Source organism: Homo sapiens, chromosome 2, assembly GCF_000001405.40.
Source record: "Homo sapiens chromosome 2, GRCh38.p14 Primary Assembly".
Classification (NCBI taxonomy): Eukaryota; Metazoa; Chordata; class Mammalia; order Primates; family Hominidae; genus Homo; species Homo sapiens.
In genome coordinates, this window is record NC_000002.12 from 73,026,112 (window position 1) to 73,047,525 (window position 21,414).

General features: G+C 46.4%; 1 protein-coding gene across 21 annotated transcripts in view, besides 2 other annotated features; it reads right to left on the reverse strand.

The window, feature by feature from the left end:
• The window catches only part of SFXN5 (sideroflexin 5), a 129,677-nt gene that overhangs the window by 84,076 nt on the left and 24,187 nt on the right, over positions 1–21,414 (reverse strand). For 15 of the 21 annotated variants that reach the window (NR_138476.2, NM_001371739.1, NM_001371743.1 and 12 more), the window contains one exon: positions 14,743–14,820. Coding sequence is in view for 14 of the 21 variants with exons in the window: in NM_001371739.1 (NP_001358668.1) it covers positions 14,743–14,820 (78 nt within the window). In the remaining 7 variants the exon portion in view is untranslated. Of the gene's footprint in view, positions 1–14,742; positions 14,821–15,495; positions 15,551–21,414 lie in introns of all 21 variants that reach the window. The other 6 variants (NM_001371737.1, NM_001330403.2, NM_001330411.2 and 3 more) reach the window with 2 other exon arrangements.
• Positions 10,513–11,398: an enhancer, noted in NCBI's record as "H3K27ac-H3K4me1 hESC enhancer chr2:73263753-73264638 (GRCh37/hg19 assembly coordinates)". NCBI's record gives its function as "activates a minimal SCP1, AML or CMV promoter by ChIP-STARR-seq in naive H9 embryonic stem cells {active_cell/tissue: H9 hESC(naive)}" and the evidence as "EXISTENCE:reporter gene assay evidence [ECO:0000049][PMID:30033119]".
• Positions 18,109–18,403: an enhancer, noted in NCBI's record as "tiled region #10332; HepG2 Activating DNase matched - State 5:Enh". NCBI's record gives its function as "activates a minimal TATA promoter and a strong SV40 promoter by Sharpr-MPRA in HepG2 cells {active_cell/tissue: HepG2}" and the evidence as "EXISTENCE:reporter gene assay evidence [ECO:0000049][PMID:27701403]".

A 21,414-nucleotide genomic window follows, 5' to 3' on the forward strand; every position in this document is an offset into this window, starting at 1 on the left:
ATGCTGTGTGGCTGCTTTTTTTTTTTCTTTTTTTGAGACAGAGTCTTGCTCTGTCGCCCAGGCTGGAGTGCAGTGGTGTGATCTTGGCCCACTGCAAACTCCACCTCCCAGGTTCAAGTGATTCTTGTGCCTCAGCCTCCCCAGTAGCTGGGATTACAGGCGTGCGCCACCATGCCTGGCTAATTTTTTTTTTTTTTTTAGTAGAGGCGGGGTTTCACCATGTTGGCCAGGCTGGTCTTGAACTCCTGGCCTCAAGTGATCCACTTGCCTCGGCCTCCCAAACTGCTGGGATTACACCTCGCCCAACATGGTTGCTGCCTTGACTTTAATACAGGCATTGCCACCTAAGGACATTTTGGTCAATGACAAACCACATATACAATAGTGGTTCCATAAGATTACAAGAGAGGTGAAAAATTCCTATGGCCTAGTGACCTTGTGGCTGTCCTAAAGTAATAGTACAATGCATTACTCACATTTGTGGTAATACTGGTGTAAACCAACCTACTGCATTGCCATTCATATAAAAGCCTAGCACAACACCTGACAATAATAAACGTTACTCATTTATATGTTTAGTATGCCATACTTCTTATTATTTTATTTTATTTATTTATTTATTATTATTATTTTTGAGATGGAGTTTCACTCTTGTTGCCCAGGCTGGAGTGCAATGGCACGGTCTTGGCTCACTGCAACCTCCACCTCCCAGGTTCAAGCGATTCTCCTGCCTCAGCCTCCCGAGTAGCTGGGATTACAGGCACCCACCACCATGTCCAGCTAATTTTTGTATTTTTAGTAGAGATGGAGTTCACCATGTTGGCCAGCTGGTCTCAAACTCCTGATCTCAGGTGATCCGCCTGCCTCAGCCTCCCAAAATGCTGGGATTACAGGCGTGAGCCACCGTGCCCAGCCACTTCTTATTATTTTAGAGTGTATACCTTCTATTTATATTTAAAAAAAAAAAGTTAACTGTTAAACAGCCTCAGGCAGGCCCTTCAGGGGGTATTCCAGAAAGAGGCATACTTATCATAGGAGATGACAGTCCCGGCGTGTTACTGTCCCTGAAGACTTTCCAGTGGGAAAAGATGTAAAAGACAGTGATATTGATGATCCTGACTCCATGTAGGCCTAGAATGATATGGGTGTTTGTGTCTTACTTTTTAACAAAAACGTTTAGAAAGTTTTTTAAAAAAGTAAAAATGTTTAAAAATAGGAAAGAGCTTATAGACAAGAATTTTTTTGTACAGTTGTACAGTGTTTGTGTTTTAAGCTAAGTGTTATTACAAAATAGTCAAAAAGTTTTTAAAATGTACAAGTTTATGAAGTAGAGCTACAGTAAGCTAAGGTTAATTTATTTTGAAGAGAGAGCATTTTTTAAATAAATTTAGTGCAGCCTAAGGATATGTGTTTATAAAGCCTACAGTAGTGCACAGTCATGTCCTGGGCCTTCACATTCACTGACCACTCACTCACTCACTCAGAGCAACTTCCAGTCCTGCAAGCTCCATTGATGGTAAGTGTTCTATGAAGGTGTATCATTTTTTATCTTTTTTTTTTCTTTTTTTAGACAGGGCTTGCTCTGTCGCCCAGGCTGGAGTGCAGTGGTATCATCACAGCTCACTACAGCCTCCACCTCTCCGGCTCAAGCAATCCTCCCACCTCAGCCTCCTGAGTAGCTGGGACTACAGGCGTGTGCCACCACACTTGGCTAACTTTTTGTGTGCTTTTGTAGAAACGTGGTCTCCCTATGTTGCCCAGGCTGGTCTCCAACTCCTGGGCTCAAGCAATCCTCCCACTTCCACCTCCCAAAGTGTCAGGGTTACAAGCATGAGCCACCGTGCCTGGCCCCATCTTTTTAATCTTTTATGCCATATTTTTACTGTACCTTGTCTATGTTTAGATACACAAATACCATGTGTTCCAATTGCCTACAGTATTCAGTAGAGTACCATGCTGTACAGGTTTGTAGCCTAGGAGCAATAGGCTATACCATACAGCCTAGGTGTGGAGTAGACTCTACCATCTAGGTTTGTGTAAGTGCACTCTATGATGTTCCCGTAATGACAAAATCACCTAATGTCGTATTTCTCGGACATATCCCTGATGTTAAGTGAGGCATGACTGTATCTTTATCTTTGAATTTGAGTTTTATAAGTTAAGCCCAATGGGAGAATGGAGCACATGCTGGCGGCCCGGACCCTCAGCTCACATGTGGTCCTGCCTCCCACTGCCTCAGCCACCGCCATGAAATGAGTTCTTGGCCACCCAGTGACTGCTGCAACCCTCCACTCCTGTCAGAGGCCTGGGCGCAGGGAGGGCCATGCAGTCCCCATGCATCAAGTTGTGAGGCAGGACTCCGGGTGCCTGTGAGGGTCTGCACTTGTCCCATGAGTGTCCCCTGTGGCTAAGGAAGAGAAACATTAAATAGCAAATAAAAAACATTTTTCCAGGACGAGAGAAGAATGAGGGGAGAGAGAAAACTCAGAAAGGAAGGAAAAGCTTCTTTCTGTTTTTTGAACAAGGGTCTTGCATTTCTATTTTGTATTGAGTCTCACAAATGATACGGTCAGCTCTGCCTAGAAATACTGATATTTGGAGGACCCCAGTGAAACAGATCATTGCTCAGTGAGCCTACACATGCATACATAGGAAAGAAATTCTGAGGAAAGGAGACAATGCAGGAACTAAAGAACATTTTAAAAACACTCTAGCATCTTCAGAGCAGAAAGACATGAAAGAGGAACAGGATACAATGAAAAAGAGGGAGGGGACAAACCCTGGCTCTGTCGCTTACTCCATGTGTGGCCCCGGGGAAATCACTTTGCCTCTGTGCCTGGTTCTCCATCAGTAACATGAGTCGTTGTAAGGGAGGGTTCCCTGGCAGTCTGCATTTATGGGCACACAGCTAAGCCTATGATTCCCAGCCTCCCCCGCAGTCAAGTGGCCTCCTGGGACCGGGTGCTGGCTAATGGATTGTGGGTGGAAATGACGTTCGCCAGTTCCAGGCCTGTCCCCGAGCCTCCCACGGAGAATCCAGTGGAGGATAGTGAGGCCCTAAAGACATGAGTGAAAGGAGGCATCCTGGCATCATCTTTGGCCTCTGCCAAGTCCCTGAGTTGCAACGGAGTCAGATATGAATGAGAAACACACCTGACTGTGTTCAGCCTCCGAAACCTGGGCGTTACTTGTACTAACATTTGGCTCAATCTGACTAACACCAAGCGTTAAATGACATATGCATATATAAAATATTTGACTCATAGAACGTGCTCAATAGTTTTGCCTAAAATAGAGGGAAGCAATTCAAATGAGCAGTTTTTTTTTTAAAGGATTTAATCATCTTTCAAAGTAACTTCATCTCTATTGTTTTATCCCCCAAATGCCTGGGAGGTAGACAGATGCTCTTTAGACTAGGTAAGGCATCTCAGAGAGACTAAGTGACTAAGCCAGGGCCCCAGGGGCTGGTGGCAAGATGGAGACAGGCACCCAGGCCTCCTCACCTAGGTCTCCCCGGCACTGGAGCATGTCAGTGTCTGAGGTTGGCCAGAATGACTTATTCACTTATTTAATTCCCTCAACAGCCCTAGGAGGTTGGGATTAATATATCTCCCATTTTTACAAATGTGGAAACTGAGGCTCAGAGAGATTAAGTGACTTGCCCAAAGTCCCACAGCAGGCTGGGTGTGGTGGCTCAGACCTGTGATCTCAGCACTCTGGGAGGCTGAGGCAGGCAAACTGCTTGAGCTCAGGAGTTTGAGAACAGCCTGGGCAACATGGCGAAATCCCATCTCTAGAAAAAATACAAAAATTAGCCAGGCGCAGTGGTGCACACCTGTAGTCCCAGCTACTTGGGAGGCTGAGGAAGGAGAATCGCCTGAGCCCAGGAAGCAGAGGCTGCAGTGAGCTGAGATCACACCATTGCCCTCCATCCTAGGCGACAGGAGTGAAACCCTGTTCAAAATAAAACAAAACAAACAAAAAAACCCTAAAATCAAACAAACGAACAAAAAAAAACAAAAACAAAAACAAAAAAGTCTCACAGCACCGGGATGTGAACCCAAGCAGTCTGGCTCCAGAGTCCCTATCCTTAACTACCACTTGCATCCATCTCTAAAGTCTAGCTCATCACTGCACTGTTCTGCCCCTTAGGCTTGTCATATATTTTGGAGATCTTTCCATATCAGTGCACAGAAAGCAGTCTTATTCTTCCGACCAAAACCCTTGAATGAATGAAAAATATATATGTATATATATACACATATATTTGTTGTTGTTGTTGTAGAAACGGGATCTCGCTATGTTGACCAGGCTGGTCATGAACTCCTGGCCTCAAGCAATCCTCCTACCCAAAGGGCTGGGATTACAGGCATGAGCCACCGTGCCCAGCCTGAATATTTTATAAAATGTCTCCTATTGATAGACATTTGGCATTAAGTACATTCAAATCGTGGGCAGCCATCGCCATCATCCATCTCCAAAACACTGCCAGCTTCCCAACCTGAAACTCTCTACCCATTAAATGTGACCTCCCCATTCCTCCCTTCTCCAGCTCCTGGAAACCGCGTCTGCTTTCTGTCTCCACGACATTCACTACACTAGGTATCTCATACAAGTGGAATCACATAGTATTTATTCTTTTGTGACTGTCTTATCTTTCTGCTATTACAAATCATGTTCTGGTGAATTTCACTGGAGTTACTATATTGTGAGAATTTAAAGAAAAAGGATAAATTATACAGATATATCTGGCATAATACAGAGGAACCAACAATTAGGGAGGGAAAGTGGGCAACTGGGGGAGAGAAAAAGGGAGAGTTTTTTAAAAATTCCTATTCTTTTTATACCTTTAGAATTCTGTATCTTGTTCATATATTACCTCCTCAAAAATATTTGTTTAAAAATTAAAGGTAACCACTAGAAAAAGATAATAGAAGATGCACAAATTCCAAGCCCTTTATTGACCCTTATGGCACAGACCACAAACTGTCCAATAAAATCCATGTCCTATTGTGTTGTCCATAGTCATAGAACAGAAGCTGGCAGGTGGCTGGCCTGCTACACATTTCCCAGCCTCCTCTGCAATGAGGCTTGTCCATGTAGCTGAGACCCACAGTGGCATCTGAGGGGAAGTGATGTGCCTTTTCCAGGCCAGTGGCTCCCCCTCCATGCTTTCTGTCCCCTTGCTGTGAGCCAGTGCAAGGATGTGGCTGCAGCCCAGCCTCAGCCATGAAGATAGCACGACGCCCAAAGAGATGGTAGAGAAACATGATGGAAGGAGCCTGGGTCCCTGAATAATCCTGTGGGGCAGAGCTAGCTGCCCACCTGGAACTTGAGCTGTTATACAGGACAGAAATAAACTGTCTCATTTAAGCTAGTACATTTGGGGATCGTTTTGTTACAGCAGCTAGTACCACTTTAACTAATATAACCCATTTGGGGTTATTGGAAACTGCTTCCAGTGATATCAGGGAAAGATTTCCAGGGAAGAAAGGAAGGAATGGAAGCTAAAGTGGTGCTTGAAGCTCTTCTTGAGGCATCTGACAACACACCAGACTCAGAGGTTTTGGGGTGAGTTGGGAGGAACATCTCCATTTTCAACAAAAATTCCTAGTCATGATCTGATCTTGTTTGGGCTGATCCCATCACCAGGCTGCAGTGACAACAGTCAGGATCATGGACTTTGGCCCTCTCTCAGTCACTAACTTACATAGCCTGCCTGTGCAAGTTACCTCACAGCTTGGACTTGTATTATTTTTAAAATTAGGCAGAAGCAGGGACAGGAGGTAGAAGCAAGTCTCTCCAGGGCCCCTTCCTGTCCTACGGTGTATGAGGCCACGCCCAGCTTAGAGGGAGAACAGGACAAGGACTCAGGTCTGACTCCTTGGGTCTAGGCTTTTCCCTAGGACCTGCTGGATTAAATGTTGACTTTAAGGGGTTAAATGTCAGATGCAAAAATGGCAGCAGGTAATGTACCACCCACAAGCCAAGAGCTGGTTGCTAGTTTGAAGTTTCACAAGCCAGTCCTGCAAACAGGTGATGGGGGAGGATCATCCTAGGGTGTCAAGAGTTCGACGGGACATCCTAGGATATCAAGAGTTCAACGTCTTCTCACTAGACCACTGAAGCATCTCCACTTTAAACTACAATTCCTGCTTAAGACCTCATCTTGTGTGGGCTCAGCCCATCTCCTCTGTGCCTCTGCTGAGCATAAAAATATGCAGCTTTGATCCCTTGGGACTTACTGGCTCCAACAACAAATCAGTGTGGATATGAGACTTTGAACCTTGCTTGATTTCTCAACTTGGTAAATAAGAACATGGAGCAGGTGTGGAGAAGCAATCCGGGTGAGAGGTGGCTGGAAGATCCCAGAAGTTGGCTAATTTCAAAAACAGCCAGCATCTCAGCTGAAGTGCCATCTGAACCTACCTGAAGTTCGGTGTAGAGTCCAAGGGAGGGGCAGAGGACACTCACCAACTGGCCTTCTCGGGCAGAGCGGGGCACACCCCCAACACCCAGAGGGAGGAGGAACAGCCCAGCCCCACCCCCAATCTGGCTCGCTCCCCTTCCCCTCTGCCTCCTTCCAAGCTGCTTCTCCAAACCTCCCAAGGCAGCAAAGACAGAGCCTATTTAAAACAACCTCCAGAAGGTAATTAAACAGAGCCTGAAGGGGATCCTTCTGTAAGGCAAAGAATGCCTCCATAAAACAAACAAAAAAAACTTCCTAATTTATCAGTTGGGCCAATCGCATTATACCTCACCATTAATTTTGTTGCCATGGTTACTCCCAGGTAATATGTACCTATTGCAAGTCTATGTCAGGTGAGGGTACCCCCAATTCTACAGACTCACGAAAGAAGAGGGACTCTTCGCCTAGTTCTGCAGCATAGCACACAGCAGCAGTTGCAACTTCCCTATACACGCAGTTTGTTTCTATCCAGACCTGGGTTTAAATTCTAGATCTCCCGCTTGCTGGCTATGTGATTTAGGGCAATACGCTTAATCTTTCTGAGCCTCCTCTTCCTCATTTGTAATATGAGGATGTGAATATTTTCAAGGTTATTGTGAAAATTAATAATTAATTTAACAAATTTACTTATTTAACAAATATTTATTGAGCATCTACTATGTGCTGAACACTGCTCTAGGTGCTAAGGACACATCAGTGACAAAAACAGGCCAAAATCTCTGCTTTTGTTGAGTTTAGAGGGTTGCACAGACAGACAAACGATAAGCAACACAAACAATAAATAAGCACATTTTCTGATATGTTAGAAGGAAAAGTGCTTCAGGAAACTAGGGAAAATAGACCAGGACAAGAGGATAGCAAGTGTGAGCAGGTGGCAGAGATGGAGATTACAGACATAAGTAAGATAGTCAGGGTGGGTCTCACTGAGGTGATATTGGAGGAAACACTTGAAGGAGAGAATGAGTCATGCAGCTATCTAGTGGGAGATTGCTCTGGTAGACAGAACAGCCAGTGCAAAGGCCCTGAGGCAGAAGTGGGCCTGTCTGGTATGTTTGAGAGACAGCAAGGAGACCAGTGTGACTGCAGTGGACCAAATAGGGGAGAGCAGTAGGAGACAAGATCAGAGAGGACTGGGGGCTTTGCAGGCCAGGTTAAGGACTATGGCTTTTACTCTAAGTGCAAAAGAGGAACACTATAGTTTCTATTAGAGCAGTGGTTCTCAACTAGGAGGTGGATTTTGCACCCAGGGGACATTTGGCAACATCAGAAAACATTTTTGATTGTCATGACTGGGGAGGGGAAGCTAATGGCATCTACTGGGTCACAGCCAGGCAGGTTGCTAAACACCCTCAGTACACTGGACAGCCCTCGCAAAAAAGAATAATCTGGCTCCAAATGCCAATCGTGCCAAGTCTGAGAAACCCTGGAGCAGAGGAACAAACAATGTCCTGTATAATTTCACAGGTCACTCTGTGTGCTGTATCAGCAATGGACAGAGGAGCCCAGGTAGTATAGGCAGATCATCCAGGAGGCCACTGCAGGGACCCAGCCCACAAATGCATCTACAGCACTCAGTACGACACCTAGCACATCATACAAATGACTCACCTCCTACTGATCACTTGCCTGTTCTGTGCTACCAGTTAGGGCCATGCTGGGCCTGGCCCAGAGGGGCAGGGTGCTGACCAGGATCCCCAGAGCTTGATGCTAGGAGTCAGGGTAAGACTAGTGGGTCAGCCAAGCCTTCCCTTCGGCATCTGACAAACCTGCTGACGCCCACAGAAGACTTGGGGCACAAGTATTTTTAAGCCTGCCTCTGGTATTTGCTCTGTTATTTTCAGCAAAGCCCAAACACAGCTGACCCCATTGCCTTCCTGCCAGAGAAGACTTGCAGGATCTCTTGCATCCCAGCAGCTCTTTCTCCTAGGCAGGTCGCAGACAGAAATCCATCCTGCATGGGGGCTCTGAGCAATCCATACATTCATTACCCTGGGTGCAGGGTAGGCACTTAGGAAAGGTTGGCTGGTTCCCAACCTCTGGGGAATGTTGAATGATGGACAAGCCCAGCCACTCAGGAGCTACAGTGGTTCCCAGTAACCTGCTCCCCACACTCCCCATCACTCCAGTTGCTTCCGAGCTGATTTCCGTAATAGCACTTATTCCTCCCCAGTGCACTCTGGCACTGCCACTGACTGATCCTACCACAATACCACTGTCGTGCTACTCCCTTGCTCAATAGCTTTCAGTAGCTTCCTCTTACCCCACACAATGCATCCAGCATCTCTGCCTGGTTTTCAAAGACTTTCTCAATCTGGCCTGTAACCTCCAACTTCCTTCCCAGCTTTCTCTTTCTTGTCTCTTCTCTCTGTCTCTGTCACTTACAGAAGATGTCTCTCCCATTAGATCTAAGAGGCCCAGTGTCAGATCCCTGCCCCACCACATACTAGCTATGTGACCTTAGGAAAATAATGCAACCTCTCTGAGTCTCACTGGAAAATTGGGTTGATACAGGTACCTACTGACAAGTTTATGTGAAGATTAGCTGAGATAATATGTGGAAAGCGCTAGTACTTATGGTGCAATACCTGCCACTTCGTAAGCATGCAGCGAGCGGTGGCTCACCATGGGGAGGGGTCTTCCATATTTAGCCCCACCCACCTCCTCCATCCACACCAAATCATTCTGGCAAAGCCCCAGCATATACAAGTGTACAGATCAGAGTCAACATTCAGAAACTTAATGGCTGTGTCTATGCTTACATTTTTGTATACCATGGTTTTGTTTTTTTAACTGATAGCTACAGTCCTTATTACGGTTACTAGCTCTTCAAATTTTCACCTGCTAAACCCAAAAGTTAAATTATACTCATTTTTATTTTGTCCTCAGAACCAGTGATTCATTGGTATCGCAATCTTTTTTTTTTTTTTTTTTTTTTTTGAGACCGAGTCTCACTCTGTCACCCAGGCTGGAGTGCAGTGCTGTGATCTCGGCTCACTGCAACCTCCACCTCCTGGGTTCAAGCGATTCTCCTGTCTCAGCCTCCTGAGTAGCTGGGACTACAGGTGCATGCCACCATGCCTGGCTAATTTTTGTATTTTTGGTAGAGATGGGGTTTCACCATATTGGTCAGGCTGGTCTCGAACTCCTGACTTTAGGTGATCCACCTGTCTTGGCCTCCCAAAGTGCTGGGATTACAGGTGTGAGACACCACGCTTGGCTGGTATAGCAACCTTTAAACAAGGTAACGGTCCCTGGAGGAGAGAGCAGCCACCCACAACAGAAGACCAAACCAAGGCCATCAGGAGCAAACAAACAATCAATACATTTGCGCATACCCACTGGTGAGGTGTTGTACCTGGAGGTCAGGTTAGATGACAAACTGGGTAAAAAAAGAGAGTGTCACAAGTTAACCAGCACTGCCCACAACACCAGGACAGGCCTGCAGGCCTCAGGACCCAGTTGCAGGCTTCTGGCCCACACACCTGCAAAGGCATGAGAGCAGGCGCAGAGCCCAGGTGCAGGTGAGGCCACTGTCCAGACTGAGAACAAGAACCACCCGGGCCGCTTCAGATGAGCAGGGCCAGCCTGGGCCAGGAACAGTGACTGTTAACTATGGATTGCCAAGCCCCCCAAGCCCTGAGCTGCCATGTCACCACTTATCCCCTCTGCTCCTGTGTCTGCAGAGGCCAGAGGAAGGTGTAGATTGGCTGACTGAAGCCCAGGGAGGGAAGCATTTGTGAGAGCTGGTGCTGGGGGAGCCAGGAGGCTGGGGGAAGGGAGGGAGAGGGAGGATCTGCCTCTAGGGGGCCATAGTGGCAGGCTCACACCTAGAGCACTGTGCTACCCAGCCACCAGATGGACACTGCAGGCATCACCAACATGAGCCAGAATCGGGAAGCACAGTTAGTGCCAAGCTGCCCCTCCACCCAGTTCCCCTCCTCCTCAGCTCCCTTGAGGCACATGGGGGCTTTCAGGACAGAAAACAAAGGAGGCCTGGGAAACAGGACAGGCAGCTTCAAGCTACTGAAGGGAGCAAAGAGGAGGAAATGTGGCTTCATTCCCCAAACTCTGGGAGCTGGAAGGGGTCCCAAGAGGCCAACCTCAGCAAGAAAAGGGCAGAGCGGAGCCTGGGCCAGGAGGAAACACATGGTCAGGAGGCCATAGAGGCAGGACCCAACTCTCACAGGTCTCAGAAGAACACGAAAAGGGCTGGGGACTGCTTCGGCCTGAGTAGGGTGGGGTACCAGGTCACACCATCCAGGCTCTTAGGTGCTCATGGCCAGAGAGAAGTCCCATTGCTCAGGGAAGAGGAGATCGCAGCCTGCCCTCCCGGCTGACGGCTGCCCATGACTCAGCACGCAGTGCACACGCCTTCAGATGGGCCCCATGTAAGCAGGCACTGCGGGTCTGTCACTCTCCCAGGGCCCTGCACAGGGGCATCTGGCCAAGGTGCTGCTTCCGCTCATGCATTTGCCCTCTATTCCCATCACCATGCTCCAGTCTAGCACATTCGCCCATTCCCTCCTTCTGTAGGGTCTTGCTCCCTCGATCTCCAGCACAGTGTGCACCTCCTTGCCTGGACCACCCCCACCTGCTCTTCACCAGCCCTGTCAGCCCTCATATCTCAGGGGAGAAATCTCTTCCAGATGCCCTCAGTCTGGGAGGGTCACCCCTTCCACGGCTCTCCCATGGTATCATGTGCTTTCACTGTCACTGCCTGGTTTCTGGTGGTGTAGACAGGAACTTCATCCAGCTTCCTACCTGCTCTATCCCCCAGGCCCTACCCTCGCTTCTGGCCCATAGAGATGGATAGAAGAGAAAAAAGGTGAGAAAACCTACGTGTCAGCCTATGATGGCTAATATTTGACTAACAGAAGTTCCAGAATGAGAAAAAGTGATGAAAGCAATTAAAAATTTTGCCAGAGCTGAAGACAGGAGTCTTCAGATTGAAAGGGGTAATGAAGAATCCAAAATGATAAATTTTAAAAGAAACAGCATTGTGGAATTTCAGAAACAAATTTCACAGATAAAGAGAAGATCCTAAATATTTCCAAAGAAAGAAAACAGACCGCAAAGAATCAGGAATGAAACGGCATCAGGTTTTTCAACAGCTATATTGGAACCCAGAAGAAAATAGCGCAATGGTCTTCAAAAATCTGAAGGAAAATGATTGTCAACCTAGAATTTTCTCCTCAGCCAAACTGTCAATTAAGGCTGAGTGCAGAATTATAATTTTTCAGACATAAAAAGACTCAAAACTTTCTTCTCATTTACCCTTTTTCAGGAAGCTACGAGAAGAGGTGTTCCACCAAAATGATGAAATATACCAAGAAAAAGGAAGACCTGGAACTCGGAGGTAGGCCCCAGAAAGGAAAATTTCAGGAAAACAAAAAGAAACTCAAAGACAGAAATCTTCAGATTGCAAGGAGCACTGAAAATACAGTCATGCGTCACTTAACAACAGGGATATGTTCTGAGAAATGCATCATTAGGTGATTTCATCATTGTGCAAACAGCATAGAGCATCCTTACACAAACCTAGATGGGCAAGCCTGCAACACACCTAGGCTACCTCGTAGGTAGAGCCTACTGCTCCCTGGTTACAAGCCTGGGTAGTATGTTACTGTACTGAATATATAGGCAACTATAACACAATGGTAGATATTTGTGTATGTAAACGGTTTGTGTATATTTGTGCACAGAAACAGTTCAGTAAAAATATGGCATAAAAGATAAACAATGGTCACCTGCATAGGGCACTTACCATGAATGGAGCTTGCAGGACTGGCAGTTGCTGTGGTGAGTCACTGAGTGTGTAGTGGGTGAATGTGAAGGCCTAGGTCATTACCGTACAGTACTATAGACTTTATAAACACCATACATTTAAGCACGCTAAATTTATTTTAAAAAAAAATTAGCCAGGTGTGGTGGTGTGTTACTCAGGAGGCTGAGGTGGGAGGAACACTTAAGCCTGAGAGTTTGAGGTTATAGTGAGCTACATCGCCCCACTGCACTCCAGGCCTGGGTGACAGAGCAAGACCTTGCCTCTTAAAAAAATTTCTTCAATAAAATGAACCTTAGCTTACTGTATATTTTTTACTTTATAAAATTTTAAATTTCAGATTTTTGACTCTTTTGTAATACTTAGCTTGAAACACAAACACATTGTACAAAATATTTTTCTTTATATCCTTATTCTGTAAGTTTTCTATTTTAAAACTTTCAACTTTTTTTTAACTATTTAAACTCTTAAAACTAACTAAAAACTAAGACACAAACAAACAGACTAGGCCTGCACAGGGTCAGGATCATCAAGACATCTCCAGGCAACAGGAATTTTTCAGTTCCATTATCATCTATTTTTGAGACACAGTCTCACTCTGTCGCCCAGGCTGGAGTGCAGTGGCGTGATCTCGACTCACTGCAACCTCCACCTCCTAGGTTCAAGTGATTCCCCCCTCCTCAGCCTCCCAAGTAGCTGGGATTACAAACATGTACCACTATGCCCGGCTAATTTTTGTATTTTTAGTGGAGACAGGGTTTCTTCAGGTTGGCCAGGATGGTCTCGAACTCCTGACCTCAAGTGATCCGCCCGCCTTGGCCTCCCAAAGTGCTGGGATTACAGGCATGAGCCACCACGCCTGGCCCCCATTATCATCTTATGGAACCACTGTCATATATGTGATCCCTTATTGACCAAAATGTCTTTATGTGGTGTATGACTGTATTGAAAGGCCGCGGGAGGGTACAGTGAGAGTGAGAGATGGTACAAAGGAAAGTATGCCAATGAAAAATCTGAGGTGGTTATTAACTCCAGATAAAACAAATTTGAAAAAGAGACATAATCATGATACAACCAGTCTGACTATGCAGTAAATGTTATTTCTATAATTGTAACGACATGAAGACTGAATATGTATAGGCCCCAAAACCATGATAACTATTTCAAGAGTGAGTATGGATGGCGGAAAGAAGTGTGTTTAGAGGGGTGGATGATAAGAGAGCTGAATCCTCAACTACCATAATAGATAACCCAAAAGAACTAATTGAGAAATAGCAGTGTAGATAAGCATATTTGTCTGAAAGATAGAATATAAATTTCTATCTGCAGAACAGCAAAAAGTAGTTGCTCCTGCGGAACAGGCATGGGAACTGGGGAGGGATAGGGAACATATACTATTTTTCCTTACAAGCACTATTTTATTTTATTTTATTTTATTTTATTTTATTTTATTTCTATTAATTTTTGAGACAGAGTTTCGCTTTGTTGCCCAGGCTGGAGTGCAGTGGCGCAGTCTCGGCTCACTGCAACCTCCATTTCCCAGGTTCAAGCGATTCTCCTGCCTCAACCTCATGAGTAGCTGGGATTACAGGCGTCCACCACCATGCCCGGCTGATTTTTTGTCTTTCAGTAAAGACACGGTTTCACCACGTTGCCCAGGCTGGTCTTGAACTCCTGAGCTCAGGCAATCTGCCTGCCTCGGCCTCCCAAAGTGCTAGGATTACAGGTGTGAGCCACCGTGCCCAGCCCCTTACAAGCACTTTAGTACTATTTGACTTCTTGAATTATGCACACATGACTTTGAAAATGTTTAAATTAATGTTTGAAAAAGTTTTTGAAATAAAGTTTATGAACAAAAAGACAGACTTTGGCACATGAACCATCAGTCTCTGTAATCATTAACTACTACCTTCCCTTACCCCTCCCCAAAACAAAACACCACCTTCAACATTTCAGGTATCTCTAATTTGAGTTCCTACACGATATTAAAAAAGAATAAAACAACAGTATCCTAATCCTAATCCTCAACATCCTCCCCCATCCTTCCCACCCTTAACCTGAATTTTTGAACAGTGGTATGCTGGTAAACGTTTAATAACCTGTTCTCTGGAGAAAAAGTCCTGATTTGTAGCATTTGCCAACTTCTATGGTATAAATACTCCCATCATGGCTGATTTCCCACTGTGTCATCCCTGATCGTGGAATTGGGAAGAGATGCCCACAATCAGCTCTCGCAAGCCAGTGCGGGCCAGCTTCAGCAAGCCTTTGGCCTTTGGGCCACCCTAGCCTTATCAGCCTCCATGCTTCCCACTGGACCTAGAGCACAGGAGAGATCTGAGCATCTCCAAAGAGCTTTTAGTCCACAGGGGTATGTACCAGCAGAAGTATATGCTGGACGAAAGAAGTGGTTCTGGCTGCAGCGAAGGGTTTGTGAATTTCTCACTTTCCTTCCCTTCCCCACTGGCCATGCTCCCACCTCCCACAGAGTTACCTGTTCATTGGTGACCCCCGGGCGCAGGGTCCCATGCTTATAGTCCTCCAGCAGCTGCACAGCCTCTCTGAGACGTCTCTGCAGAAGAAAGAAAAGAGACATTGAGGGGCACAGATCCAGGGCTCCCGCAAATTTTTCTTTTGTGGGATTACATCAGTATCAAATACTGCCAGTGCAAGGCTTTGGGCCTGCCCTCAGTTCATGGGACACACACAAAATCATATAGAAATACCACCTAAATGTTCTTACTCGGCAGTTTAAAAAATGAAGTAGAGCTACATGTGCTTCCATGGTCATCTCCCCAAGATATTTTGTTGAGTGAAAAAGCAAATGGCCAAGCAATATGATGCTGTTTGTTGTACCAAATAAACAACACACACATATCAAATAATATTTCCTATGTGAATATTTGTATATGTCAAAGTATCAGAAAAGCCCTAGAAGGAGAACAACCAAACTGGTGGCTGGGGTTACCTCAGGATAGGAGGAAAGGGCCAAGACTTGGCAAGGGGTGTCACAAGGAACTTTAATCTTAATGTAATGTTGAAAGCTTTTAGGCCAGGCGCGGTGGCTCACACCTGTAATCCCAGCACTTTTGGAGGCTGAGGCGGGAAGATCATGAGGTCAGGAGTTCGAGACCAGCCTGACCAACATGGTGAAACCCTGTCTCTACTAAAAATACAAACATTAGCTGGGCATGGTGGTGCATGCCTGTAATCCCAGCTACTCAGGAGGCTGAGGCAGGAAAATCACCTGAACCCAGGAGGCAGGGGTTGCAGTGAGCCTGGGGGACAGTGCAAGACTCCATCTAAAAAAGAAAAAAATAGAAAGCCTTTATAAGGAGGATTTTTCCTTTCTCTTTTTCCTGAGACAACGTCTTATTTTGTCACCCAGGCTGGAGTGCAGTGGCACGATCTCAACACACTGCAGCCTCAACATCCCAGGCTCAAGTGATCCTCCCACCTCAGCTTCCCAAGTAGCTGGGATTATACACACACGCCACTGCATCTGGCTAATTTATTTTTTGTAGAGATGGGGTTTTGCATTGTTGCTCAGGCTGGTCTCAAACTCCTGGGCTCAAGCGAGATCTGCCTGCCTCAGCTTCCCAAAGTGCTGAGACTACAGGTGTGAGCCACGGTGCCCGGCCAGGAGAACATATTTAAGTAGCACTTATATATTTTCAACATTTTAAAAACACTGGCAGAGATTAACCTACTAAAGTACATATGGCCAGAGTAACTGATGGGGAGAAAGAGAAAAAAAGGATAAAACCGTATGATTTTTTAAGTCTAAAAGCTAAAGAGACAGCAACAGTAACAGAAGGTAGCCTTTGTCCCCACCAAAAGACTTGTATAAGAATGTTCATAGCAGCAGCATTTATATAGCCCCAAACTGCAAATAATTCATTGTAGAATGGATAAGTAAACAGCAATATATGCACACTATAACTATTATATAGTAATTAAAAAGTAAACTATGGGCTGGACATGATGGCTCATGCCTGTAATCCCAGCACTTTGGGAGGCCGAGATTGGTGGATCCCGCGGTCAGGAGTTCAAGACCAGCCTGACCAACATGATGAAACCCCGTCTCTACTAAAAATACAAAAATTAGCAGGGCATGGTGGTGCGCACCTGTAATCCCAGCTACTCAGGAGGCTGAGGCAGGAAAATCGCTTGAACCTGGGAGGTAGAGGTTGCAGTGAGCTGAGATCACGCCACTGCACTCCAGCCTGCAAGACAGAGCAAGACTCCATCTTAAAAAATAAAAAAATAAAAAATAAAAAAAATTAGCCAGGCATGGTGCCGAGTGCCTGTAGTCCCAGCTACTAAGGAGGCTGAGATGGGAGGATTGATTGAGCCTGGGAGGTTGAGGCTACAGTGAGCCGTGTTTGCACCACCACACTCCAGCATGGGTGACAGAATGAGACCCTATCTCAAAAAACAACAGGCCAGGTGCAGTGGCCCACACCTGTAATCCCAGGACTTTGGGAGGCCAAGCAGGTGGATCACTTGAAGCCAGGAGTTTGAGACAAAACCCCATCTCTATTAAAAATACAAAAAAATTAGCCAGGTGTGGTGGTGGGTGCCTGTAGTCCCAGCTACTCAGGAAGCTAAGACACGAGGGTCATTTGAACCTGGGGGGCAAAGGTTGCAGTGAGCTGAGATCGCACCACTGCACTCCAGCCTGGGCGACAGAGTGAGCCTGTCTCCAATAAATAAATAAATAAACAAATAAACAAACAGCAGCAAAAAACAATAAACAGACAACAGTGATAGAAGGAAGCTCGTGTCAAGGTCCAGATGAGGGACCCAGACACCAAGGAAGCCCAGCATGGGGGAAGAAACCCAGCGAAGCTGCTGTGTTCCCCTTTTGATGGAGAGATGAGACTGGCTAGGCATGAGAGTGCAGAGACCTCAACATAAGCCCCTTAGTCTAAAAGAAGGATGTAGCCTCAGGAAGGGCCCTCAGTAGGGAACACAGGGTTTTCTGAGCTGGCTGCCAGAGTGGGAAATGAACAGCCACCTCCTGTACTATGGCAGCAGGAATAACTGCCAACACAGGCAAACCAGAGAGGCCACCCTCGACCCCTCAGGCCTGCATGTGAAGCACTGGCATGTGAAACACCGTGGTGGCCAGCACTGGTGTAAGCCAGGCCTGGCCCGAGACAGAACCATAGGCAGTCAGGGGGCCAGGAACACTTTTCTTACTTGGAATGGCCTGAAGGCTGAAAAGTACTGTCCCTCCCCTTCCAAATATGGAAGGGCCTAGCAGCTCCTAGATTCCAAAGAGCCCCTTCCCGGATACGTTCATTTCCAAAGTGGAGATAGCTTTGTGGTTGTTTTTATTTTTTCCCCATTGTACAAGTTAATTCATGCTGTTTAAAGAAAATATCAGAACAAAAAATGGAAAAGTACAAAAAGTAATCTTAAATCTGTAAACATACCCCTAAGATAACAACTCCAAAAGTGAGGATGATTTTCCTTCTAGACATAATACGCTTATCTACAAAATTGGATTGTGTTGTTTCAACTTGCTTAAGGTCACACAAATAAGTGGGTGATTTAGTATTTGAACCAAGTTTAGTCAGACCCTCACTCTGCACAACCCACCACACACCCCCTCAATGCCACCAAAGCCTCCTAGTGATGCAGCGAGGCCCCCACCCTTAAGCCTGCCCCTCCGGACCTGGACAATGAATGCTCTACTTTCCAACGCTGAATGGTGAATGGCCCCATGTTCTCATTATTTTTCCCACTCCAGGGATTCTCCTGAGTTCCTATAACAACCTGGCCAGATTCCATCTCACTTGACACAGTCATCAAAGGGAGCCCTCCTACCAAAAGAATAAATTCCAAAGAGCCCTCATCTTGGCAAAGGGCATGGGTTGCGGGAGAACAAGATCCAAGGTTCCTGCAGACAAATCTGAGGGCCCAGGACTGAAGGAAGCTGGAACCTGCTTTTCTGCCTCTGAGAGCTACAGGCTGGCCTTGGACCTTACGAAACCTCTGTCAAAGGCCGAGGGGCTGAGGCTCCAGGCCTGTAGGACAGGCAAGGCCCCAGGACAGCTGTCTGGACAGGGCCCTGAGGCCTGGCTGTTCTAGTGGCTGGTGTCCCCACTTCAGAGAAAGGGCCTATATCACAGATACCTGGGAAATGGGAGGAGAGTCTCCCTGTTTAAACTCTTCACACGCCCCTGGACCGTGAGGCTCAGCAGAAGGGCCCGGGTACTTGAGAGGTGGTGAAAGCTGGGAGGTTGGTGGCAGGGTGAACTCCGCAGGAAGTCTTTTCAACCAGAAACAAACAGGCACCAGCCCCTGAACACAAAGGCTGTGAGGGGCCCGGCTGTGGTTAGTGGGAGGACACAGCCCAGGCTGCTGCTTACCAAACACTACTCCATCGCCAGCCTGCCAGCAAGTGTCACCATGAGAGTCCCTCCATGTATTTGAGAGGGGTATGGTCTCCAGAAGATCCCTCTGGAGGGGCCTGCACCCAGGAGGTCTGCTCCAGCAGCACAGAATTTGAACAGAGGAGAATCCTGGCCCCACTGGTCCTGCCTCAAGGCCCCACCTGAGGGGAAAGGGTGGGAAGAGGGCAGGATACCCCGATGGAGGGGAATGGGGACAGAGGGACAAGGAAGAAAAAGAGGCACAAAAAGGAAAGCTGAGGAAGAGTCATCGGAAGCAAAACTCATCTCTTCTTGGAGAGACCAGGCCCTGTTCACAGGAGATATGGATAAGATTACCCCTCTGCATGTACACATGCTAGAAACATGGGGGCCATCCCCTCTCTGAGAAAACTGGGGCCAAGAGGGAAAGGTACTTCCTTGCCCAAGGTCACAGAGTTGGTGAGTGACACCTAGAAATCCCAGGAAACCTCAACTCTAGTTCCAAGCCATTTCCTTGAGACATCCACACAGAAGAACCTGCTGTACTCACGCCAGCAACCATCTCCCAAAGAAACCTCAGCAATGCCCAAAGCCCCCCCAGAACTGATGGCCTCTGAGGCAGTGCACCCCAAGTAAAAAAATAAACAGCCTCTTTTACTCTCAAAGCTGAGTCCAGCGTAACACAGAAAAAACGAACACACTTAGAGGAAGTAGGTACAGCTGAAACATGGGCCATTTCAGGCAAAGTAGAGAGTTTGGGAGCCCCAGTGGTTATAGAACTAAAAGACTGTGGCGGGGGGTGGGGGTGAGGGGATGAACTGGCAGTGGGGCGTGCAGGATGGCAGGGAGGTTATGTTCCACCATGTCTTGATGGTTCAGTAGCTGACTGTTCTCACTGGGCCAATCTTGCACCACTGAGGGCAGGGCCGTGCATCCTTACCACAGCTTGACCATTACTAGAGTCGCCTCCAAGCAGTGGGTCTCGGAGGCCCAAGGTAATGGTTATGTGCAGGCAAAGTCCCAAGCCTTTCTCTTGTCTTCCCTCAGCCATCCCCAACTCCATGTTCCCACCCAGCAGTCCTGGAACCCCCAGGGTTCTACCTGTCTGTGCTGCGATGGGTCCTTGGCTCCCATCAGCCAGAAGCCCACCCTATGAGATGCCCAAAGAAGGGGAACCAGGGACACGTCGCTTTCCCTGCCCTGACCTCTAGTTGCCTTAGGAGGCCAAGTGAGGTAAACTGATGCAGTTCCAGCAGCATGACAGGCAGCCTATCCCTTCAGAAAAGAAACCGATCCACTTATCCCAAGAACTTTAAGCCTGGCTACCCTCCTCTTGGAATTTACTCTAAAAAGTAAACTTAGCAAAAACTAAAAGCGATATGTTGGCCGGGTGCAGCAGCTCACGCCTGTAATCCCAGCACTTTGGGAAGTTGAGGCAGGCAGATTACTTGAGGTCAGGAGTTCGAGACCACCCTGGCCAACATGGTGAAACCCCATCTCTACTGAAAATACAAAACTTAGCCGGGCATGGTGGCACACACCTGTAGTCCCAGCTACTCGGGAGGCTCAGGCAGGAGAGTCGCTTGAACCCGGAAAGTGAAGGCCACAGTGAACCGAGATCACGCCACTGCACTCCAGCCTGGGCAATAGAGTGAGACTCCATCTCAAAAAAAAAAAAAAAAGTAATATGTCTAAGGCTATTTTGTCCAGGAAAGCAAAAGATAGGAAACAACCTATCTGTTAGACCAAAAAGTCTAATGGGATGGTTATTTATGCCACAAAACTTGATTTTTAAAAATAATAAAGACTTGGTGTAGTCCCAGCTACTTGTGAGGGTGAGGTGGGAGGATCTCGAGCCTGGGAGGCTAAGGCTGCAGTGAACCATGATCACTGCCACTGCACCCCAAAAACTATTTTTAAAGTTATAAAGACTTGGAAATGAATAGAATAAAAAAAGTGTATGTTCAGTGTCATAATTGCCAAAATGTATGCAGATGGACAAGAACTTGAAGTATCTAAGGGTACTGACAATGGGGATGTTTTAAATTTAAAAATTCCATCAAAGATTTTGAAGTTACACTATCCAGTGCTGTCTAAAATACATTTTTTTCTTTTTGGTTATTTTTTCCTTTTTTTTTTCCTACAATACATTTAAATGGACATCTCACTTGCTGCTATTGGGAGTATAAATATAAAATCTTGGGCCGGGTGCGGTGGCTCACACCTGTAATCCCAGCACTTTGGGAGGCCAAGGCAGGTGGATCATGAGGTCAGGAGTTCAAGACCAGCCTGGACAACATGGTGAAACTCCATCTCTACTTAAAATACAAAAATTAGCTGGACGTGGTGGCAGGCACCTGTAATCCCAGCTACTCAGGAGGCTGAGGCAGAGAATTGCTTGAACCTGGGAGGCTGCAGTAAGCCAAGATCGCACCACTGCACTCCAGCCTGGGTGACAGAGTGAGACTCCATCTCGTAAAAAAAAAAAAAAAAAAAAAAAAAAATATATATATATATATATATATATATATATACACACATATATATATATATATAAAATATATATGTGTGTGTATGTATATATATGTGTATATATATGTACATATATATGTGTATATATGTATATATATGTATATATACATGTATATGTGTGTGTGTGTATATACATATAAAATCTTGGTACAGGTTGGTATAATTTGCAGGACAATGATATGGTTTGGCTGTGTCTCTACCAAAATCTCACCCTAAATTATAATAATCCCCCCATGTCAAGGGCGGGGCCA